The 26,391-nt window shown below is 40.0% G+C and overlaps 1 annotated feature.

Annotated features, from left to right (window-relative positions):
- Positions 24,666 to 26,134: an enhancer, noted in NCBI's record as "VISTA enhancer hs208". NCBI's record gives its function as "enhancer in: limb[8/10]" and the evidence as "EXISTENCE:transgenic organism evidence [ECO:0001131][PMID:17130149]".

Raw genomic sequence — 26,391 nt, forward strand, 5'->3', positions numbered from 1 at the left:
GCTAGAGATGCTGTAGCTTCTATCTGGAGACAACAGCCAAAAAGAGAAGTCAGCACACAGTTGAGAAGCAAGGGGAGCAGAGGAGAGGCTGAGTCCTGTACCTGGACCAATCAAATATACCTAAGCTAATTAAACATTTATTTTTTACCTGAAAACTCCATGGCTAATAAAAGAGGTGCGTGAATATTAAAATTTTTGCTTCCTTTTGGTTTGTTTGTTTTGTTTTGTTTAGAGACAGGGTCTTGCTTTGTCACCCAAGCTGTACTTCAGTGGCATAATTACAGCTCCCTGTAACTTCAAATGCCTGGGCTCAAGGGATCCTCCCACCTCAGCCTCCCAAGTAGCTAGGACTACAGGCGCATGCCACCACACCCAGACAATTTTTAAAAGTTTTTGTAGAGAAGGTCTCCCTAGGTTTCCCAGGCTGGTCTTGAACTCTTGGGTTCAAGCAATCCTCCTGTCTTGGCCTCCCAAAGCATTGGGATAACAGGCGTGAGCCATCACTCTGGGCTTGAATTTTGCTCTTGATGAAGACTGATCTCTGTTTTAATGAGGTGTAAACATGAAGCAACTTCTCAGAGTTCTTCAAGTAACTAGGGAGTTGTTGTAACTCCAATCAGAGTTCAGCGAGGATCTCAAAGTTAAAAGAGAGACAAATAAAAAGATAAAATGGGGGTGGCATGGAGAAAGAGAGGAAGGTGGGTGGGGGAAGAGAGGGAAGGAAAAGAGAGGAACATTTCTGATAGGACAGCTTTTCACTGTGTAGGATATTAAGTCCTAAAAATCAGTACTTTCACCCTTTTTGATCATTCTCTGCTTGGCTGTTAAAGCAAGATCATTCCATCTGATTTACAAAACTGTAGCTCTGTTAAAAGGCCAGGAAAAAATGAAGACCCGATATCTTCTCCTGAGATGATTTCTTCTCTTTGTTCTTCATTAAGCCTCTCTCCTTTATTCACTCTTCTTCCCTTGTTTTTTTATTGATATTGTTTACTGTGTGACTCACACCTTCAACCTTTATCACAAATCAAATCTATTAGGAGTTTGGAAGGCATCCCCACCAATGGAGAGGCCCTGGCTATTTTTTTTTTAACTTAGCAGTATTCTACTGGATTTTACAGCTATTGATTTCATAGTCCACTCTGGATTTTACTACAACAGCACACTAATTTTCCATCCTGTCGAAAGAGAATTTGACGCTTTACCCTGGATCATTTCACATTTCTTACCTGGGAGACATTGGAACACAAGAAGATTCAGCCTTGATTGTAGCAAGTGTGTGTGCACATGCCTGTGAGTTTGCATGCTTGTACTCACACGTGCCTACACAGACCTTGTGTTTGTGTGATCATTTAATTTTCTCTCAGTATAAACAAAGGTGACTGAACTATTTCAGCCATAAGATTTATCTCTTGATAGAGTCTGGCAAGACCCTTCACAACACTTTTTAAAGGAGTTGTTCCATAACATTATTAGGTGATTGAAATGCAACTGACTACATTAAAAAATACAGTTCTCCACCACATAATGATGTTTTGGTCAATGGCGAACCACATATATGATGTTGGCCTCATAAGACTATAATACTGTAATTTTACTGTACTTTTTCTATGTTTAGCTATGTTTAGATACACAAATACTTAACATTGTATTCATTTCACATTTCACATTTCTTATCTGGGAGACATTGGAACATAAGAAAATTCAACCTTGATTGTAGCAAGAGTGTGTGCACATGCCTGTGAGTTTGCATGCTTGTACTCACACGTGCCTACACAGACCTTGTGTTTGTGTGATCATTTAATTTTCTCTCAGTATAAACAAAGGTGACTGAACTGTTTCAGCCATAAGATTTATCTCTTGAAAGAGTCTGGCAAGACCCTTCACAACACTTTTTAAAGGAGTTGTTCCATAACATTATTAGGTGATTGAAATGCAACTGACTACATTAAAAAATACAGTTCTCCACCACATAACGATGTTTTGGTCAACGGCAAACCACATATATGATGCTGGCCTTGTAAGAGTATAATACTATAATTTTACTGTACTTTTTCTATGTTTAGCTATGTTTAGATACACAAATACTTACCATTGTGTTACAATTGCCTGCAGTATTTAGTACAGTAACGTGCTGTACAGGTTTGTAGCCTAGGGGCAATAGGCTTTACCATAGAGCTTAAGTGTGTAGTAGGCTAAACCATCTAGGTTTGCATAAGTGCACTTTATGATGTTCACACAGTGACAAAAATTGCTTAATGATGCATTGCTCAGAATGCATCACTGTTGGCAAGTGATACATGACTGTATCATGTTAGAATCTAAGGTTTCCCAGCTCAGACTTCTTCAGTTCTCTTAAGTCCACAATGCTCTCTGGTAATGTGAGTTGAGGAGCAGCTGGAGGCCGGACTTCTCCAGGGCTCCTTTCCTGTTTCTGACAATGCATGGAAGACACGTTCTGGCTGGCAGCTAGCTAATCATCCATGACCTTCAGCATCTAACTGCCTGGATTATGGATTAAAATTTTTATAATTTAACATCTGATCCCAAAATGTTTGTCTTTCCTTCTCCAGAGCCTCCATGATGGTCCCTCTCTTTATCTCTCTCAAGGTCCAAATGGAGTAGATTTTATCAGAGCACCTTGGCTCACATGTCTGGCAGGTCCCTCTTCAGCTTCCTATCACTTTCTGGATTATAACTTAACTCCTTAGCAGGACACTTGAGGCCTTCTTGTACCTGGCCCTTACTGTGTCTCCAACCTCTTCTCACCCCCCTCATCCTGGAACTCAGCCATGCCAGACTCTGTGCAAGGTCATACATTTCAGGCTGCTTCATACTCTAGTCTCCAGTCACCTGGGGACTTCCTTCTCATCTTTCAGAATACCTGGCATGAAGCCCTTTTTGACCCCACTCAGGTGTATTGGCTAACCTCTCCTCTGTGTGAACAGATTTTCACAGCAACTGTGACTATCTAGTTTAATTAATTAAACAACTAATTAAAGTACAGGGATCTCTTTCTCTAAACAGTCAGCTCCCATGAAGGGCTATATCTCGTTTACCTCTCTATCTCCAACACTTAGCACAATACCTGAACCATAGAGGAGCTCGGAACATATTTGTTGAATAAAAGAATGGAGCAGAGAAATAATACTCTTGATAGTTCATGTTAGAAAGAAATCACCATGATAATGTTCTATGTCTCAACAGGGATTTTCCTTTTACAGGCATGTATATTTGCTAAAACTCATTGAATAGTACACTTAAAATTCATGCAATCCACTCTATGTGAATTTTGCCTAGGGAAAAAATACTATAATCGAACCCTGAACTCTAATTAATGACAAGCAGGATGATATGCTTAAGAGTAAAGTATACTGAGGTCTGCAACTTACCTTAAAATGTACTAAAAAATAAGATGGCTTGATGAAAGGATAGAAGGATAGATAAATGGATAGCAAATATAGCAAACTGTTAGTTGTAGAATCTGCATGGTGGGTGTATGGGTGTACACTCCACAATTCTTGCAACTTGTCTATATGTTTGAAAAAGTTCATAATAAAATGTTGGAAATAAGAAGTCACCAAAGGATGTATTTATTGCCTATAGAATTGAGACACTCAGGGATCAGTTCTGGAGCAACTCAAACCCTTACAGATTGGTCCATGGCAATTCCTCTAAAATTCTCCATGTACAGCGCTTCCTTACCACCTGAGATTCCCAGCAGCCACTCAGTCTCCTATCCTCAAAGCTTGCTCTCTGTCATTCTCGGCTTCTGATCCTGCCTTCTTGGTCCCTCCCTTATTCCTGCTTTCTTTGTAGGGAGCAGCCGCACAGAAAGGACTATGGACACATCTTGTTCCTCTGCTGAGACAGCTTCTTAGTTCTTTGCTTTTTTTTTAAATTGAAAATCTATTCAGGCGGCTCTTGTCCTTTTTCTTCTCAGAGAGTTGAGGAGGGAGACGGAGCTAAGTACAAAACATTCAAAGCTCTGTACTGAAATTACAAAGGGGAAAACTGGGATACTCCCACATGAAAATGTTTACCAAAGGGAATGAATTACTTCTTTCCCTTCAAATACAGAAGAGAAGAAACTGAAGACGACAAATGTTTTCTTTGGAAAAGGAATATGGTTTCTTTTACTGTGATTTTCTCTTCCTCATATTTTATTATTGGCAGAAAATACTATTATAAAAAAAGAGTACCCGCACCCCCTCCCCTAAAACACATGAAATACATGAATTCAGCTGTCTTTGGGCAAGAATATTTAGAAAACAAAATTAGGTAGCAACAGAATGCATCCTTTCCATGCCTATAAACCTCAAGTAAGCACTCTTTTAGCTTCCAGTTGGTATTTAATCAGCATACCATAACTTTTATGGGGCTGAAATGAAATGCTTCTGAGACACTAAATTTCAAGTGCTGCTGTAAACTTTGGTCATCTGAGTTTGATTTACATATGATGGCCCCATCCGCTGTGATGATGGGGATAATGACTATTGTTGGAGTTGATCATCTGGGAAAATACACACACATAGACATACACGCCACTGTAGTCTTCATCTGCTTGGTATCTTTAGCATATTAGACAGACAGGAAGTAGCAAAGATGAATCACAACTTCAATCTATCAAAAATAAGCATAAGTTACATGAATTTTAAGGTGACAACAGTGTATCAGTTAGGAAGCTTCTATTGGAAAGTAACACATGAGCTTAAATAACAAAGAAAATTTATTAATTCATGTAACTAAAAAGTCTAGGCTTAGGTAAAGCCTAATCCAACAGTTCATGAATCATCAGGATCCTGGCTTAATTTCTTTGTAATTCTCTAGGTTTTGGCTTCATTCTCAAGCTGATTTTCCTCATCGTAGTAAAATGTCTGGAGGAGTATTAGAGTTCCTATTTCCAGAGCAGGAGAGAGAGCCCTTGACCCAGCAATTCCGACAAAAGTCTTGAGATTTATTTTGATTGGGCTTCTTGAGGTTGTATAATGCACCAGGTAATGAATCACTGTGGTCCTGTGGCCAGGTGGGTGGAATGTGCTGATTTGTGTAGCCTAAGTCATGAACCCTGGGGCCAGAGAGTGAAGTGAGCTTCCTTGGAACCACATAGATCCCCATATGGACTCCCATATGCAAATGGGGCTTGTAGAGAAGACAGAGGTGCTGGGGAAGTTTGCACTACATATATAGTGATATATATATGCCTACTAAAAATCATCAACTTCCTTCCTGTGACTTCACTGAAGTCAAGTTTCTACAATGAAAATCAAATAATAAATAACAGACATTATTTTCTCTTCTATGCAAAGACAAAAATCAAATACGTTGAAGATATGAAAAGACTTATTAGAAACAGGCAGTGTTTTTTTATTCCAATTGAACAGACTGGTACCTTCTTTATTTCTATTTATCTTACTAAAATGACATTATGTGTATCTATTCTATCTCCGTTGATTCATTTGTCATTAACAACTTCCCAGGTCAGTGTGTACAGAAAGGAGTAATATAGGAATGATGGGGGGTAGCATATATGGTGAGGGAGGAGCATTTAATATGTTCCAAAGTGTAGGGGAAGGGAACTAACATTTACTGAGTACACACAGCAGCAGGTCAGCTAGACCGTTATAACTATTGTTGCTTTTTTTTTTTTTAACGAGAAAATACTAAAAGTGAAGAATTGAAGCTGGAAGAGAAAGAAATGTGCTGCAAAAGGTAAAAATGTTCAGGGAAAAGATAAGGGAAGAGAAAATCCTCTACCCAGAAGAAGATGGAGATAGGATTAGAACAGGATTCAAAAAATATGTGGTTAGTTTGGACTCTTCCTTTATTTGTGGGGTTTCCATACTGTAAACTCCATAAAAAGCAGAGCAATGTTGTGAAAACATCATTGAGTTGGAAACTAGGACACCTGAGTCAACCATGCCCCGGCCACTGCTACATGTGTGACCTTGAACAGGATGCTTAACCTCTTCTCTTTGCAAGACAATATTTCTTTGTGATTTTGAGTTCCTGAAGGTGAAAACATAATCCAGAGAATGAGGATGAGAACTGAAGAAATTAAGAGTTACTACTCAGAAGGGGTGGACACTCAGTAACAAAATTTGGCTGAATAAATGACCAATGAGTTGGACGTTTCTTTTGATCTATTAATATTTATCAATCATCTATTTATTGATTTATTTGTGTATCTACCTATGTATCATCTATATTCTTTATTGAATTTTGCAACAGTTGAGGATGCATGTAGAAACCTGTATAATAAAATAATGAAATATAAATGTAAAAATTTGGAGCTCTTAGAAACTTGATATAGGTTTGTGAGCCAAAAGACCAAACTCAGTTCCCATAATTGAGCTGTAAGTTTGGCTCTGAGCTTTCCAGAAGGTGAAGGAAAAAAGGAAAAAATAACTTGCTTAAAAATTTTTAATAACCATAAGCATTACAAATACTAGTTCCTTAGAAGGGGAAACCAAACTTTTTATAGAAATTAGTTCTAAAAGGAAATTTCTCACATGGGGTGAGGGAAGCATGTTAAATGAAGGGACTGCAGCCCAACGCAATGAAAGACAATAGCCAAAGAACAGTGTAAATGCTGTATTTTTTACAAAATTTAGCTCAGGTTAGTACAGAAACTAAGAGCACATTAAAGATACAGTAACATGAAGTGACAATGGGCTGACATTGACAGAAAATAAGTCTTTCTAGAGAGAATTCCCAAGTTGGAGAAATGGTTAGAGTTTTGGAGGCACTTGTGATGAAGTAATTTGTGAAATGAGGAGTGCTGCTGGCTGCTGATAAGCACAACTGGGTATCCATCCTGTCTCAAAGGCCAAGGCTAGGAAGATACATCTTCAGCCCACCTCTCTCCTCTCTACTTACAACCACATTTGCTGCAAGCAGTCCCATGTACCAGGCCTGGGTGAGCCTCAGGTTAGCCTCTTGGCAGCCTAATCACAGCTAGACTGGATCCAGACAGTGGCATACAGGGAGGTATCTGGCCTAGAGTTGACCTTGGTATTGGCATGTTTTCTAGATTGGGCAAGATAAATTGGTTCCTTGAGGAGCTTGTTGCCTTGAGGGGAGCTGAGAAGCAGCTGTGGTAACAAGAGTAGAAAATCATCCTCACAGACTTCTCTCTAAATGGGCCCACACTGTCCCCACTGAGAGTGAGTGAGAAGACTTCCTCAAGGGGTGCTTTGGTGACCCAAGTGAAGGACCCTGAGTCATGTTTTGGGCCATGGCATTGAAGAAGCAGTACTTCTAGGCAAGAGTAGTGACTGCAGTGGTGGTTAGTGCCATCTCTAATGGGAAGGCCAATCTCAGCAGACATATGGGAAGGGCTGTGAGGTGCAGCCACATTACCCCTGAGATCTTTCCTCCATTATCAACCCTGGACAAATGAAAGTTGGGCTTGTTAAGGGAGTTGGCAGAATCTCCCATAACATAAGTGAAGCCGACTCTCAAGTTGGTGGTACATATGGAAGAGAGATTACAACATATGTTGCATTCAAGGAATGGAAACCTGTACAAATGTTAGAATGCATAAGGAATGTCCTGGGCTCTGACTGATAAATTAGCAACTTCACTCTCTTGGGAAAGTCCTAAGAAGGAGGTAAAAAGAGGTACTCTAACATTGAAAGAGGAAAATGAACGTTTTCCTCTTCCTACAGAAGTGTCTACAACTTGATCAGGTATTTATTCAGATGCATTAAGTTATGAAGAAATAACCACACTCTGACACATCCACAAGTATGTTCTTTGTGTGTGTGGAGTATTGGAGTGAGCAAAAAGAGTGGACTCTTGATAAAAATTAGGAAGTAGCCTAACAGTTATATAATATTCTGCAATTTCATGTAGCAGTAGAACTGGAAGTGGAATGATTCTGCTGTATAATCATATGTGATTTCAATTGTCATTAGATTTTTCATATGTATTTAATTTTCTCAGATTGAAAGTGTGTGGAGGACAGGAACTGTGTATTTGGTAGAGTAAGTATTCAAAGGAAGTTAGATTTCAATATTTCCTTATGTTTTCCCTAGACTGGTGTTATGTAAAATTGAACCTCGATGACTATATTTTTAAAATGGATTTTCAATAATATTACCATCTTTTGGTTAACTTCGTGTTAGTGTTAATTTTCCTTTTTTTTGTTCATCTGGTAACTTTACATTTTTTCTTTTCTTTTAAATTGATACATTATAATTGTATGTATTTATGGGGTACAATTTGGTGTTTTCATACATATATGTGCTATATAATAATCAAATCAGGGTAGAGTATCCATCACCTCATGTAGGTATTATTTCTTTGTGGTGAGAACATTAAAAAACCCCTCTTCCAGCTGTTTTGTAATATACAGTGCCTTACTGTTAACCATAGTTACCCTATTGTGCAATAGAAAACTAGAATTTATTTCTCCTATGTAATTGTAACTTTGTACCCATTGACCAATCTGTCTCTGTCATCCTCTTACCTCCCTCCTCCTCATCTCTGGTAACTGCTGTTCTACTCTCTGCTTCTATGACACCAACGTTTTCTTTCTGAAGATTCTACATATGAGTGAGATCATGTGGTATTTGTCTTTCTGTGTCTGGCTTATTTCACTTAACATGATTTCCTCCAGTTTCATCCATGTGATTGCAAATGACAAGATTTTATTATTTTTATGGCTGAATAATATTCCATTGTGTGTGTGTGTGTATATATATATATATAGAGAGAGAGAGAGAGAAAGAGAGAGAGAGATAGTATGTGTATAGACACACACACACACACACACACTACTTTTTTTCTGTCCATTTATCTATTTTTGGATGTGTACGAGGATTCAATATCATATATATCCAGTAGTGGGATTGCTGCATAATATGGTAGATCTACTTTTATTTTTTTGAGGAACCTCCATATTGTTTTCCATAGTTGCTGTACTAATTTACATTCCCATCAACAGTGTACAACTGGTCTCCCCAGGGAGGTGGGGCTGCTGCTGGGACTAGCTATTTGGCCAGGTGTGGATGTGTATAGGCTTGGCAGGCTGGCTGGCTTCCTTCCAGTACCTTCCTCACTGTGCTGGTCCACCTATTCCTTGGTTGGGGTGGAGGAGTGCCACATGAGTCACATGGGTTTGGACTCTGAGATCTTGGTTGTTCATCAGGCCTAAGCTCCAGGCAGCTGGGGTAGTGGTACTGCAGACATTCGCATTAAAGGGGTGGAATGATGGCAGAGCCTCACGGATATAAAGAGTCAGTGGTTACTGGCCCCAAGAGCAGTACACATTCTAGGAGTGGGTCTGGTTTCAAGATGTCACTGTGCTATAGAAGCTTAAGTCATGGGAATAAGGGTGAAAGGGTAAGGGTTCTACTCTGAGGCCACGCACCTAAATGAACCCTTGGCAATTCTCCAAACTAAATTTGGGGCCGGAGAAAACTAGGAAACTCTCCTGTAGCAAGGACTGCTTTTGTCTGTGGAGGTGATAGGAACTGCTGGTGGTCTCCAGCTTGCCTTTGCCCCCATAAGAGGAAGAATGCCAGACCCCAAGGTGATCCCAGTAAGGGAGAAAATGTGGCAGAGGCAGGATAACTTGCTCTTTTTTCTATGGTGCTATCCTGGGCTTCCATGTTCCACAGGAATTTCACTACCCCCCTGTGCTCTCCAGCATACTTTCTCAGTCACTGTAGTTGAAATATGGTTGTTTATTTGTTATTTTGATCCCTCTTCATTGGGTGGGGGATGAGCACTGGGCAACTCTAGTAAGTCATCTTGCTGATGTCACTTTTAATGTTAATTTGTGGTGTTTAGCTTTTTCAATCATGATAACCATTGGCTTTTCATGTAGAAATATATCAATGCATTAATGTTATATAGTGTATATTTGTTACTATTTGGTAGAGGGAAAACTTAAGTTATCATAATCTTTTGTTCATTGGTATAAAGAACAAACTCAAAATAAAAAAGGTAGAGCCATACATTGGTTGACAAACACAATAGGACTTGGGAATCTTTATAAAAATAGGTAATGTAGAAAAATTTTCATAATAATTAGTTTCATTTTTTCTAAGTGGCTGGCACTCTATATGCACTACTTTATTTAACACAATAACTCTTTATAGAACATAGCATAATTCTTATTCTAAAATATGAAAATAGAGAGTGACATCAGCAAGATGGTAGAAATAGGAGGTCACCCACTCATATCCCCTACAACAAAAAAAGTTTTGCACCTGTTCACAGATAAAAAGCTCTTTGTGGGAGTCTCAGATTCAGGAAAGAGGTTATGAAACCTGAGTGGAGCCCAAACTTAGGAGGGTAATTTTGAGAGTGCAGACAGGCATCCAGGTGGCTGATCAACTGATTGTACTCCCAGGTTTATGCACAGAAATGGCCCTGTTCCTGGAGGGGCTTGGCTACAGCCCCATTTGGCCTTGAGTCTGCAACCAAAACCATCTACCAAGAAGTCTAGGAAGAATTGTGCATATTAGTGCCATGGCAGAGAGGCTGGTCTGCTTGCTGACATCAGTCTCAGCTGTGGACCTGAAAATTTCCCTGTGGTTTGGCTTCAGCACCCCTCAGCTGAAGTCTCAGCTCAGAACTGCTCACACAAGTCCCTAGATGGAGACTTACCCAAATCTTATAGCCTGGGATTCTGAGCCTCTGTGATGGGCTCATCAATGTCCATCCCACAGCAGATTCTCATGAGGCTCAGTCTCAGGTTTGGCCTTTCCTATTACAACAGTTGGGATACTATCCCATGTGCAGTGACCTGGTGGGAGGTGTGTACCCATTTGAGCCAGCAAGACAGGCTTACCAGCCACCATCCACAGCAGATCCTGAGGGGTCCAGTCTCAGCTCTAGCTCCACTTGCTGCAGTAAGGAACCTATCCTACCTGTGCAGAAACCTGCTGGGAGGTGTGCCTATCTGGGCAACCATGACAGTCTCCCAGGCTTGAGTCCTTGGCCAGCTTTCCTTGGCCAGCTTTCCCATACAGTATGGGTACTTTTCTTGAGTCTTTCCCACGTACATCTGTGCTGGAGAGCCATGCCAACATCAGAGACCTCATGAGACTCATGGAAAACCTGGGCTTAGAATAACCACCAGTGCTGAGATGGCTGCAGGAGCCATTGACGCAGGGAACACAACAGTGTACTTAGAATTTGTAGAAGGTCTTTTGAAGAAAGATGGGCACAAAGAAATCCAGACTGTAAAGACTGGAATAAATACTGAATCCTTCAATACAGAGACATTACCATACACCCACAAGCACTAAGAACATTTGGGGAAATATCACCTCACCAAATGGACCAAATAAGTCACCAGAGACCAACCCTAAAGTGATGGAGATGTATGACCTCTCAGGCAAAAAACTCAGAATAGCTGTTTTAAAGGAGTTTAATAAACTTCAAGAGAACACTTTGAAATAATTCAGAAATGTATTAGAGAAATTTAACAGAGACATTGAGATAATAAAAATTCAAACAGAAATCCTGCAACTAAAAAATTTAATGACTAAAATAAAAAATGCAACAAAGCATCAACAGCAGAATTGCTCAAGCAGAAGAAAGAATCAATGCACTCAAAGACAAACTATAGTATTGTAAAAAATACAAAGTCAGAGGAGAAAAAAGAATAAAAGGATGGAAGAAAGTTTATGGGATCTATAGGACAACATCAAAAGAGAGAATACTTGGGTCGTTGTAGTTAAAAGGGGAAGTGGGAAGGACAAAGGGTTAGAGAGCTAATTCAAAGAAATAATAGCAGAATACTTTCCAAACCTGGAGAAAGATATAAATTTTCAAGTGTAGGAAGGTCAAACATCACCAATCACATTCAAGTTTAAAACCTAAGAATCAATATCGTGAAAATGGCCATACTGCCCAAGGTAACTCATAGATTCAATGCCATCCCCATCAAGCTACTAATGACTTTCTTCACAGAATTGGAAAAAACTACTTTAAAGTTCATATGGAACCAAAAAAGAGCCCACATTGCCAAGTCAATCCTAAGCCAAAAGAACAAAGCTGGAGGCATCACGCTACCTGACTTCAAACTATACTACAAGGCTACAGTAACCAAAACAGCATGGTACTGTTACCAAAACAGAGACGTAGACCAATGGAACAGAACAGAGCCCTCAGAAATAACGCCACATATCTACAACTATCTGAGCTTTGACAAACCTGACAAAAACAAGCAATGGGGAAAGGATTCCCTATTTAATAAATGGTGCTGGGAAAACTGGCTAGCCATATATAGAAAGCTGAAACTGGATCCCTTCCTTACACCTTATACAAAAATTAGTTCAAGATGGATTAAAGACTTAAATGTTAGACTTAAAACCATAAAAACCCTAGAAGAAAACCTAGGCCATACCATTCAGGACATAGGCATGGGCAAGGACTTCATGTCTAAAACACCAAAAGCAATGGCAACAAAAGCCAAAATTGACAAATGGGATCCAATTAAACTGAAGAGCTTCTGCACAGCAAAAGAAACTACCATCAGAGTGAACAGGCAACCTACAGAATGGGAGAAAATTTTTGCAATCTACTCATCTGACAAAGGGCTAATATCCAGAATCTACAATGAACACAAACAAATTTACAAGAAAAAAACAAACAACCCCATCAAAAAGTGGGTGAAGGATATGAACAGACACTTCTCAAAAGAAGACATTTATGCAGCCAAAAAACACATGAAAAAATGCTCATCATCACTGGCCATCAGAGAAATGCAAATCAAAACCACAATGAGATACCATCTCACACAAGTTAGAATGGCAATCATTAAGAAGTCAGGAAACAACAGGTGCTGGAGAGGATGTGGAGAAATAGGAACGCTTTTACACTGTTGGTGGGACTGTAAACTAGTTCAACCATTGTGGAAGTCAGTGTGGCGATTCCTCAGGGATGTAGAACTAGAAATACCATTTGACCCAGCCATCCCATTACTGGATATATACCCAAAGGACTATAAATCATGCGGCTATAAAGACACATGCACACGTATGTTTATTGCGGCAGTATTCACAATAGCAAAGACTCGGAACCAACCCATATGTCCAACAGTGATAGACTGGATTAAGAAAATGTGGCACATATACACCATGGAATACTATGCAGCCATAAAAAATGATGAGTTCATGTCCTTTGTAGGGACATGAATGAAATTAGAAATCCTCATTCTCAGTAAACTATCACAAGAACAAAAAACCAAACACCGCATATTCTCACTCATAGGTGGCAATTGAACAATGAGAACACATGGACACAGGAAAGGGAACATCACACTCTGGGGACTGTTGTGGGGTGGAGGTAGGCGGGAGGGATAGCTTTAGGAGATATACCTAATGCTAAATGACGAGTTAATGTGTGCAGCACACCAGCATGGCACATGTATACATATGTAACTAACCTGCACATTGTGCACATGTATACATATGTAACTAACCTGCACATTGTGCACATGTACCGTAAAACTTAAAGTATAATAAAAAAAATTTACAAACTGCTTAACACAAACTTTTTTTTGAGAAAAATAAAACATACTGTGTATTTCCTTGCTGTTTTAAAAAAAATGTGGCACATATACACCACGGAATACTCTGCAGCCATAAAAAAGGATGAGTTCATGTCCTTTGTAGGGACATGGATGAAACTTGAAACCATCATTCTCAGCAAACTATCACAAGGACAAAAAACCAAACACTGCATGTTCTCACTCATAGGTGGGAATTGAACAATGAGAACACACAGACACAGGAAGGGGAACATCACACACCGGGGGCCTGTTGTGGGGTTGGGGGAGGGGGGAGGGATAGCATTAGCAGATATACCTAATGTTAAATGACGAATTAATGGGTGCAGCACACCAACATGGCACATGTATACATATGTAACAAACCTGCACGTTGTGCACATGTACCCTAAAATTTAAAGTATAAAAAAAAGAACACCTCGACATGTTATAATCAAACTCTCAAAATTCAAAGACAGAGAGGATCCTGAAAGCAGTGAGAGAGAAGAAGCAAATGGCATACAAGGGAGATCCAATACACCTTGCAGCAGACTTCTCAGCAGAAACTTTGCAGCCAGGAGGAAGTGGGACAATATATTTACAGTGCCGAGGAAAAAAAGCCCTGCTAACAAAGAATACTGTACCTCACATATATATGCTTCAGAAATGAAGGAGAGACAAGAATTTTCCAGGCAAACAAAAGCAGAGGAAATTCATTGCTACAAGACATGTACTAGGAATTCTAGCTAGAACTTTTAGGTAAGGGAAAGAAATAAAGGGCTTTCAGATTAGAAAGGAGAAAGTAAAATTGTTTGTGTTTGCAGACGACGTGATTTTATATACAGAAAACCCTACAGACTCCACCAAAAACATTTTAGGACTAACAAACAAATTCAGTGAAGTTGCAAGACACAAAATCAACATACAAGAGTCAGTAGTATTTCAATGCATCAATGATGAACTATTTGAAAACACAACCAAGAAAGCAATTCTATTTACAATAGCTATGAAAACAAAATACCTAAAAATAAATTTTGCCAGGGACTTGAAAGATCTCTACAATGAAAACTCAAAATTAAAAAAATCTGATGAAAAAACTGAAGAAGACACTAATAAATTGAAAGATATTCATGTTCCTAGATTGAAAGAATTAATACTGGTAAAATGTTCTTACTACCCAAAGCCATATACAGGTTCGGTGCAATCCCTATCAAAATGCCAATCACATTTTACAGAAATATAAAATAAAACAATTCTAAAATTCATATGAAACCACAAAAGACCCCAAATAGCCAAAGCAATCTTAAGGAAAGAGCACAAAGCCTGAGGTATCACACTTCCTGGCTTTAAAATATACTACAGAGCAATAGAAACCAAAACAGCATGGTAATGGCATAAAAACAGACACACGGACCAACGGAATGGAATAGATAACCCAGAAATAAATATATATATTACAATCAACTTCTTTTTGACCCAGGTGCCAAGAGCACATATTGGGTAAAGGATAGTCTTTTTAATAAATTGTGCAGGGAAAACTGGATATTCACACGCAAAAGAATGAAACTAGACCCCTATCTCTCACCATTTACAAAAATCAACTCGAGTTGATTAAAAACTTAAATGTAAGACCCCAAACTATGAAATTACTAGAAGAAAACATAGAGGAAACACTTCTAACATCAGTCTGGGCAAGGATTTTTTTGAATAAGGTCTAAAAGACAAAGGCAACAAAACTAAAAATAGACAAATAGAATTATGTCAAACTAAACAGCTTTTGTACCACAAAGGAAGCCATCAACAGAATGCAAAGATAGCCTACAGAATGGGAGAAAATATTTGTGAACTATGCATCTGAGAAGGGGCTAATATCCGGAATATATAAGGAACTCAAACAACTCAATAGCGACAAACAAACAAACAAACAAGCAAACAAAACCCCCCAAATAATCTGATTTTAAAATGAACAAAAAATCTGAATAGACACTTCTCAAAAGAAGACCAACAGGTATATGTAAAAATGCTCAACATCACTAGTCATCGTGGAAGTGCAAATCAAAACCACAATGAGATGTTATCTTTCTCCAGTTGGAATGGCTGTTATCAAAAAGACAAAAAATAATAATAAATGCTGGCAAGGATGGGGAACTCTTATACACTGTTTCTAGGAATGTAAATTAATCCAGCCATTATGGACAACAGGATGGAAGATCCTAAAAAAATAAAAAATAGAACTACCATAAGATCCAGCATCCCACTACTTGATACATATCTAAAGGAAATGAAATCAGTATGTCAAAAAGTTTTCTGTACTCTCATGTTTATTACAGCATTAGTGACAGTAGCCAAGGTATGGAATCATTCTAAGTGTCCAAAAATGGATGAATGCATAAAAATGTGGTACATACTTAATGGAATACTATTCAGTCGTAAACAAGTTAGATAGGAGGAGTAATTTCTGGTGTTCTATTGTACAGCAGGGTGACTATAGTTAACAATAATATATTGTATATTACAAACTTGTTAGGAGAGAGGCTTTTGGATGTTCTCACCACAAACAGATGACAAGTATTTGAGGTGCTAGATATGCTAATTACCCTGATTTGATCATTACACAAGGTATACATGTATTAAAATATCACACCATACCACATAAATATGTACAGTTATTATGTATCAATTAAAAACAACACAAAACTTTACAAATATGAAAGTAAGTTTAACTAGGATAATGGCTTGCATTGAAATTCAGGTCTGGTTCTAAAACTCAACCTCTTCTGTAGTATCACATCACCTCCCACTCAAACTGTAAGAAATCATGTTGGAGTGTTCATGTCAGCTAGCCTTAATATTCAATTGGCCTGAATGATTTGGAATAGGACACGTTTCACTGTGGTATGTGGTGATGCCAGTCATCCTCCAAGTCTTAGTGGCTTAAAACAGCTCAGCACCACTTTTGCTCATGCTACATATAAATTCTGCTTCATGTTGTCCTTACTCCATGATCTAGGCTGACAGGGAAGCCTTTCTTTGGAGGACTGCCAATCTGTAGACAGAAGGGAAGGAAGAACATGGAGAGTGTGCACTGGTTCTTAAAGTTTCCACTTGGAAGTGACGTATCACCTCAGCTCAAATTTATTGGCCCAAGCAAGTCATTTGACCATGTCAGACTCTATGGTGCTAGGGAAGTGCAATTTTACCATATGCCTGGAAGCACAGAGGCCCAAAATATCTCTCCACCCTTCCCAAGTTGCCTTCTGGATGAAATATACATGCAAAATCAAATTCTTTACATGTATTGTGACCTTGGGCAGCACATACAGCTGTATGGCTTTGGGCAAATTATCTAATAATTCCACATAATAACACCACAGGGTTGTTGTGAAGATTAAATGAGAAAACTGTCTTTCTTTTTTCTAAGTACACTTTTAAAAAACAGAATTGAGGACACACCGTATACATAATTTCACATTCTACTTTTAAAGTCAATGTTATTTCATAAACATTTCCCCAAGTTATTATGAACTCCTTGTAGGTATTCTTATTATATTAGAATAATATTACAGGATACATTCTAAAATAAGGTATACATTTCTATATAAAAGGGCATTTTGCATTTGTAAGATGTTCCCAATTTTCAGTGGCTCCTTATCATCCAAATAGGTGCTACTTCATTAAAGGAAGAAGTGGAATCTCAGGCTGGAATTGCCCCCAACCATTCCCTGGTGAGATGAGTCAAACTTCCCACTGAGGACGACAGGCTCCGGCACACATGCTTCTCCACATAAAGGTTTGGGAGGACGTCTCCCCAAGGAACAGAGTGCTCAGCGTTGTTTTGTAGGTCAAGGAGAAAGCCCTAAGGTGGATTTAAAAAATTGCTTTTACTGAAGTAAATGGATAAACTGAAACTGCTGCACAGAAAACACTGGTCATTGCAGCTTGAATATTAGTGACCTAGTAAGGAAAGGAGAGAAGATAACAATCCTTAAACAAGTTCAGAGCATCATGGATATGAGAGAGGACATTAGCCATTAGCACGCTTCACTTTCCTGGGTGTGGCCTGTGCCCTGAGCCATCTATTTGGAAGCCTATAAGAGCTGGGACCTTAAAAAATATAACTTTTTAATCAATACTATTTTAAAAGTATTATTTTTCTGAACTTAACTGCCACATTTCACCCCCATCTCTGACTTAGAGAAGAATTTAAGAGCTAGAGGAAATGTAAATAATCTTCCATTTATTTATTCATTATTTTATTTACCCACTCATTCACTCATTTATTCACTTATTCACCACTCACATGCTTCAGAAGCATTTATTGACTGTTCTTATACGGAGGGAGACAGACAGTCTCTGGTCTTAGAGGTTCACTTTCTGTAGGTGATATCATGCAAGCAACTGACATTTAACACAGATTGAACTCATTACGGGGCATTTTGGGAACATAGAAAAGGGACATCTTTGCCAGCTTGGCAATCAGAGAAGGCTTCCAGAGCTGTGATGGTTAGGCTAAGACTTGAAGAGCAAGAAGAGGTTATGAGCAGTCCTTTTAACAGGCACCTGGCTAGCTGTTAACCTAAAGGGTACCCCTGGTTTCCTGGCTCACTTATGGGGAGAAGATCTCATATCTGGGCTTAAATGAGGTGAACTGAGCATTGTAGAGTTCCTTGAGCTGGCATGGGGATGGGGGAGCAGGTGGTTTTAACCTTTAGGCTCTATTGACACTGTGCTTAGGGCTGATAGGGTTTTCAAGAACCTTCCAGAATGTTTGAGATGTTCCCAATTTGAAATGAAGACAAAACTGCCTAATTGAAGTTAATTTATGTTTAATTTATATACATAACTATATACACAATTTATAAAAAACGACACATTTATGCATGATTTATACAGTTTCTCATTATGCTCTCCAGTCTAGTCCATGTGTTGAGCAGAGTGAGGTAGCTGTGCTGTGGACCACAGACCTGCCCTTCCAGAACTAGAGGCAGCAGTCACCCACCAAGGCAAGACCAGGGTTTGAGCCCGGCTCTCCAATGGTAACTATGAGACTTTGGACAACTTACCTCTCTGAAGACTTAGCTTTCTTTTTTGACCAGCAGGGATAATGCTGTCCACTCTGCCTGCCTCGTAGAGTGGTGTGAAGCAAACCAGGTAATAGATGTCGATGTGCTTTGTAAACTGCAAAGCCCTATATAAACGCGAGCCATCTTGCCTGGCTCTGACTCCAGCCCTGACAGGGCAGGCAGGTGGTTCTGCTCACAGCAGACCTCTGATGGATTCCCCACTTCCCTGTCGACAGCTTCATCTCCCCTAATGTGGAGGAGGCAACATGGGGGACAGTTATTCTGGACTCAATTCTGACTGACTAGGGAGAATGGGTTGGTGTTGTGGAATAGATACATAGGGCTCTTCAGCTCACAAAGCATTTCACATGCATCATTTCACTTGGTTCTCCCAATAGCCCAAGGAGGAAATTGAGGTTTGCTTGTAATCATGCGTCTATGAGCTAAGGAGCCACGACTTGAACCCAGGCTTCTTGATCCCACATCTTGTGCTTATTCCCATGTGCTCCCTGGGAGTTCATAAAAGAGAAGGAAATATCCAGACAAGGTCATGAATTGAATAAAACGGCATGTCTGTCAACTACAAGTCCCAGAAACTGACAGATTGGTTTCTTTTTCTTTTTGAAGGGAAGATGGAAGCAGGGCGGTGCGTGATGACGACAAGTCTAAGGAAGGAAAATCTCAGGCTTTCTTCCTTTCTGGGAAAGGGGGCTCCTCTGGGGAATGAGAGGACAGGCCCAAACACTAGAACAGGGGATGTTCCCTTCAGCCAGGTGGACAGGGAGCCGCCAGCCTTTGTGGCCAGACTTTCCTGAGTTCAAGTCTTGATGTGTCCTTGGGCAAGTCACTTAAATTCTTGCAGCCTCAGTTTTATCATCTATAAAATAGAAGTAAAAATAGTTCTGAAATAGAAATGAATTAGATAATGCATGCCAAGCTGCTAACTTCATGCCTGGCACATAATAGATATTCAGTAAGAGGAAATTATTACTCTTTAAATATTACCTGAATTAAGTCCAGCAGAGACTGTCTGCCATAGATGGCATGCTTATGTCCCCCCCACAACCCCACCCCCCAATTCTTACGCTAAAATCCTAACCTCCAATGCGATGGTCTTTAGAGTTGGGGCCTTTGGTAGGTGATTAGGTCATGAGGACAGAATGCTCATGAATGGGATTAGTGCCCTTATAAAAGAGCCAGAGAGCTCCCTCGCTCCCTTTTGCCACGTGAGGACCCAGTGAGAAGACCACCATCCACAAATCGGGAGGCAGGTCCTCACTGGACACTGAATCTGCCGTCACCTTGATCTTAGACTTCCCAGCCTCCAGAACTGTGAGAAGTAAATTTGTGTTGTTTAAGCCATCCAGTCTATGGTATTCTTAGCAGCCTGAAAAGACTAAGAGGCCTTGCCTAGGTCTCTGCCTAGAATAATAAACGACTCTGTTGAGTCACAGAAGAGCAGCTGTGCTGCTGGAACGTGTGATGATTGCAGTTTGCAACACCATACATTTCTTACCTCCTAGTTCCTGGCTTTGCCATCTCTGAAAATTTTCTGAGAAGCAGTCGGCATTCTTTTCCCCTCCCCTCTATGCCCTGCTCTCCTTGTGCACCAGAACACAAACTGTGTGCATGGTGACTAATGCATGCTCTTGTTTTTCATGACAGTAATTGCCTCCACAGTCAAGGCCCTCACCTTTATGGCAGATTAGCAGTGTAGGGCTAAGCACTCAGGTTTGAATCCTTGTCCTACTGCTTACTAGCTGTGTGGCTTTAGGTAAGTAACCTAACTTTTCTGGTTCTCAGTTCCTCACCTATAAAATGGCATAATGATACAACATGGATCTGGGCTAGTTTTTAAATGAGTTAATACATGTGAGACACTTAACACAGTGTCTGACACACAATAAATGCCTAGTAAATATTAGCTATGAGGGTTGCCACATTTGTGGCTGATTTTCCTGCTCCTCATCCTCTCCTCCACAATTTATCAAGCCACAGTTACTGAAACAATCTTCAAACACTGGCTTCCACACAATATCCTCTTGCCGGAGACTATACAGCAGTGTCTCACTTGTTGCCTTTAGGCCTGTTGCCAGACTGCTCATCTGGCAGGCAACGGCTCCCTCTGCCTCCCATCCCACCGTCTTACTCTGGTCATTCCCCACCATCCAGACTTCCTGCTCACTCCCCCTCAGGCTCTCTCCGGAGGCCTCACATCACTGAGTATTCCTAGGACTCCATCTTTGGCTCACTTTTGTTTTCCCTCCTCCCAATCCTGGTAGGTAAGTTTAGCTAAGCCCATGGCTTCAATACCTTTTCTTTCCCGTTGACTTCATGCAAATTTCTCTCTCTTTCTCTGATTTGATTTTTTGGTTGTTTGTTTTTGTGATTTCCACCATTGCGGAGTCTTTTTTATTTTTATTTTTATTTATTTTATTTTATTTTATTTTTTTTGCATTAAGCATTTTTTTTTTTCTTTAGGACCCTCCTTTAAAGTGCAAGTAATCATGGAAGTCATACTGATTAAGTCGTTAAGACTCTGGGAGGTAGGACTTAAGAAATTAACATCTTATATTCTTGGGCACTGGAGGTCTCTGGAAAAAAGGCATTAAAGAGGGACTGGGAGGAGAACACATGAAGAAAGGGGAGATAGGCATATATTACCCCATTTTGCTCAGGAATGGTCTGAGCTGGGCACAGGTAGGGAATAGACAAAGGGGGAAACTCAAAAAGCTGTTGTCTGTGGAAGATGAAGGTGAAGTGGTTGTCAAGCCTGTTTGATTGAAAATGATGCTTCAGGGATTCACAACATGTCAGGTTTAAGGGGGAGGCCCTCTAAAAAATACTGGGTCTCCCTGAGCCTAAGCGAAAATCTTACAGAAATCTACAGGTATCATTCCTAGGTGTTTGTCCTAAAGAAATAACCAGAGATATGGCCAAAGATACGCATGCCCTTTGAATAATGTTGTGTTGTTCCATGTTACTTCATTAAAACATTGATGAGAAAAAAATGGATTCCCAGACGCAGCCACTGTCTGTATGGAGTTTGCACATTCTCCCTATGTCTGTGTGGGTTTTCTCCAGGTACTTTGGTTTCCTCCCATATCTCAAAGATGTGCATGTTAGGTTAATTGCTGTTTTTAAGTTGTCCCAGTCTGAGTGAGTGTGTGTGTGTGTGCCCTCTGATGTAAAGGCATTCTGGCCATGATTGGTTTCTGCCTCAGGTTCTGTGCTGCTAGAATAGACTCCAGCCTCTTGAGACCCTGACTTAGAATAAGTGGATTGAAAAGGGATGAATGAATGAATACAAATGATCATGAAATAAAAATTTATAAAATATGTGATAATCATACAATTGCATGACAATAAAAAGTATGGGACAAAATCTTTCAGAGGGCCTACCATATTGGTTAGTATTTGGTTTTGAACTGTGTGGTTGTAGGAGGTACTCCTTACAATTTTTGCTTGCAAACATTTATTCCTTGATTTAATCCACTACCATTACAACCATTCATGGATCCACCAAAAATTGGGTAAATAATTATCATATTTGTTTTTATTAATATTTCTTAAATGTATGCATAGCTCACATTTATTTCAATGTTTAACATTAGAAGTGTTTTAGGCCTTTACTTAGAAATTTGGTGATATGTTTGTGACCAGAAATATGCTGTAGGAACTTAACTCTTGTTTATATCAATTAGCCTATGATAAAATTGGTTTCATTATATGTCATTTCTCTTAAAGCTGCAGTTGCCAACAATGTTAGTGAGGACTTACTGTACAAGAGTATTTGCCATCCTAAATATATATTATTTTAAAAATCTGAAAATATCCTTGATGTTGAAGAGTGAGAAACTATTTCAGTGAAAAATTAAACAGATTATCCTTACATTGAAATATGTTGTGTTAATTAAAATCATATTTTAAATAATATTTAATGACATAGAGAAATGCTAATGGCATAATGTGAACTGAAAAACTAGGATATAATATTTAATACAAGTGTAACATTAGGTGACAGTGTGTGCCTGTTACTTCCTCCCAACTTTCCAGTGAAAAACTATTTTGTCTCTAAGAAATATGATAGAACTCTCAAAAGTACATAGAGTTAGCTTTGCAAACTGTATAATATACAGTAAGTTACAGTTTTACTTATTCTGTAAATGCAAAAGCAGAAAATATTTTATTAAGATATAATATAAAAATCAACTGTTGCCAAGTCCAAATTGTCACAACCCTTTGTATTAATGTGATGGAAAAAAAAGACTAGAAGGAAATACATTAGACTGCTAATGGTTCATCTCTGAAAGGTGAAGCTATAGATGATTTCAATTTTCACCTTGATGTTCTAAAATATTTTTAGCATTTTCCACAATAAACAAGAACTGCTTTTTCTAACTGGGTTATTATTTTATTAATCTGCAGAGTCAAAGCCGGTATAACATGGGGCTGCCTCCATTTTTGTTGCTGGCATGGGCTCAGTTTAATAATCTCTTATAAAAACAAGAGACATTTTGTTCTCTGATGTCTCATTCAAAGTAGTGACTTTCTTTCTGATATTCATGGCAGGTTTGCAGAGGTAATGGGTGATTAGCAAGTCCTCTTGCTTTCCCAGACAGTGAAACTTCATCTGTGTCTGGGTGATGCTGGGCAACCGTTGTGTCTTTTGGAATATTCTATAGGCATATGTATTCTATGTTTAATATTGGATTTAGGATGAAAAATCCTATCTGCTGTCTCTGGCTCACACAACCCTAGAGCCATGTATCTGTCATATCATCATATTAGAAGGCTTAAAAGGTTTTGCAGTTATGATCAGGAGTAAATACACAGGTCACTCCCCAAATCAGTAAGACCCTGCCAAGATATGTCTCCTCTCATAAGGGCAAATAAAGGTTCTTAAATCTAGAGAGGGAATAGTAAATCTTTGAGGACTCTTTGGCTCAAGTTTTTGCCTATCTAATAAACATTCCAGCAAAAATTCTCTTAAGTGTGTGTTTTTAAAGAAAATCTGGATATCAATGTCCTGAATTATAATCAAATTAATTTGTAGAAAATGCATCTTTCACCATCCCCACCGCCACCCTGTCACATTCTCCAGAGGCTCCTATGGCCATGGGCACAAATTTCAGTCTCCTTATCTCAGCCCATGAGTTCTCCTCCATGGCCAGTCTGGTTCCCACCAACCTCTTTAGCTTCCTCACCTGCCAATCCCAGAAAAACAACAATTTCTTATAGTCCTTCAAATGTGCCAGGCCATTTCACACCTTGGGGCTTTTACACGTTATGTTTCCTTTGCATCACATTCTTCTATTTCATTTTATTAATCTAGTTAACTCCTGTTTGACTTTAAAACTTGGTTCAGATATTACCATCTCAGGAAGGCTTCACTCTACTGCCATTCCCACCCTCCATATTCCTAAGGACGCCAGGCTTATCCTCCAGTCCTTGATGTTTCCTGAAGGTGAGTTACTTGACAGCAAAGGTGGTGCCTTCCTCATCTCTGAACCCAGGCCCCCAACACAGAGCCTGGCACATAGCAGACCCAGTAGATACTTGTTGAATAAAGGGATAATTAAAAGGACAGCAATGCCAGCCATTCTTTGGACAAGGAAAGCAGAGAGCTGAGCCAAGTTCCCATCATTTGGTCAATGCAAATGGTTCATTGTCACGTGCTTAATGCACCACACTGCCTTTATCCTTAGCGGCACAATCAGGGCAGCTGAAACCCCATCCAGATTCAGCAGGCAATTGTAGAGTCCCAGACTCCAGCATCTGCTCTCAGGAAGGTGAATATCTAAATTACTGAAACCAATGCTTGCCTGCTTTCTTTCTAGAGATTTTAAGAGACTAGGATAGTAAAGTCTCCCTCAAATGGCTGCCTCATAAGGCACTTCCCTACACCTAAGTTGGAGGGGAGGGCTCCTTTCACTTCCCAGATGAATTCTGGGCTTTGTGGAGACCTAGTCTGGGGATTGTCCTCTCTCCTTTCTCATGTAACTTTTGTAGACACTGCAGGTACTCCTGGGAAAGGCTGGGTTTGCACCAATCCTTCCATCAATCTGGGGTGCCAAGGAACCCTACAAGGTCAACAAAGTAGGGTCAGGGCTGGTCTCAGCTTGTCCGGCTTCCTCTACAAGGGTCTGTAGAGGCTTGTCTGGCCTCTACAAGTTGTGGGCCAGAGCAGTCTGGGGCCTTGCCTACCTGGGCAGAAACTCCTGCCACAGCAGGGGTGGGAGGGAGGGAGGGAGAGGCGGAATAACAGAGATATGTTCTACATGGCCCACTTTCCACAGATGCTGGGCACAGCAGCCGTTTCAAATCAGGGCCTGCCCTTGGCCATGCTCCAAGCAGGCTCCGGGCTCAACGAGTGTGCAGCCCAGATGATGCCAAAAACTCCCTGAGTGAGCTCTTAGCACAGAGTTCTCACCCAGGCTGTCTCCCCACACCCCCAGCCTCCACCCAGCCTCCTGCTCCCCGTGGTTGCATAGCAGCAAATCCTCCTCATGCGGGCTTGATTCTAATTGCATGAACATCTGTTTCCATAATGGCTAGCAAGCGCATTGTTGTCCTGTGTGTTATTCAGGCCACTACAAGCACCTCTTATCACAACGCCTTGCCAGAACATGACACAGAATCTGTCAAATTTCATTTCTTAGTCCCTCAAATCCCTATGTAAGTATTTATTCCCGCAGTAAGCTCCGAGCTCCAGTTGCTTGGCCCTCCTCCCTTGCCTGGGCTTTCTCTCCCTCTGTCTCAGGCTCTCTCCCTGCCATTCCCCCTGCTCTGCCTCTCCCTCTCTCTCGCTCTCTCTTTTTCTCCTTTTATTCTCCCCCTTTCTGTTTGCTAAACGTTTTGACAGAAGTGCCCGATGCTGGCAGCTATTGACTGAAAGGGGTAGCTGCCAGGCGCTCTTGATGGATGGGCTCATTTTCCAGCCTGCAGCTAGTCTCACTGAAGCATCCGTGTCATTTGTAATGTCAGCCAACAAAATGTAATCAAACATTCCAGCAGTTTAATCACTGAGGGCTGCTCAAGAGATGATTGTAGTGTCAATATAATGCTATTTCATTATCTGTTTGTATTTTATATTGACAGTGTCAGATAAACAGTGTGGAAAATTAAGATTAAAAATATGGTAATTTCATTTCAATCACCCAGCTACAGTTGCTGGCCCATTATGCGATTGATTACTTGTGAATTAAATTTTGGGCTGAATGTAAAGTTTAATCTTCTTTCTTCTCTGCAATTCAGTTCCCCAAAGGCCTCTTAGTAAGTAAGTACCCATTCCATTTGATCTTTAATGAAAACTAATGGCCCGAATGGATTGTGTAAATCAGCCAGCCTGTGTGTGGAGCTGACAGTGTTTTCTTCCACCTCTCAAAACCTGCTTTTAATTCTCTCTTCAAATAAGAAAGAGGGGGGAGAACTGTTTTAATAGCTGTAATCCACACCTCAGTCAAAATTTTTACTTGCAAACTTTATTATCTTTCTATGGGGATCAGGTGGCTCGATCCATCTTTCCCTTCTTTCTCCTCCTCCTCCTCTTGTGACAGCCCTGGATGGTAATCCTAATAGTTTCCATGATTATCATTGTTGCTGGAATATGTAACTCCCATTGACATCACTTGGACAAGCTTGCTTTGCTAGTTTTGGTTGGGGACCAGGGGCTGCCCCAAACATGGAATCCTGATTGGCAGCTCTGGGGTATGCCCATGAAGGCTCCCACCCACCTGGAATTGCCCATTCCTGAGTTTCTAAGTGCTTGAAAAGGAAAGGGGCAGGCCTGGAAGCTTTCTGCTTCACTGACATATC

Source organism: Homo sapiens, chromosome 3, assembly GCF_000001405.40.
Source record: "Homo sapiens chromosome 3, GRCh38.p14 Primary Assembly".
Classification (NCBI taxonomy): domain Eukaryota; kingdom Metazoa; phylum Chordata; class Mammalia; order Primates; family Hominidae; genus Homo; species Homo sapiens.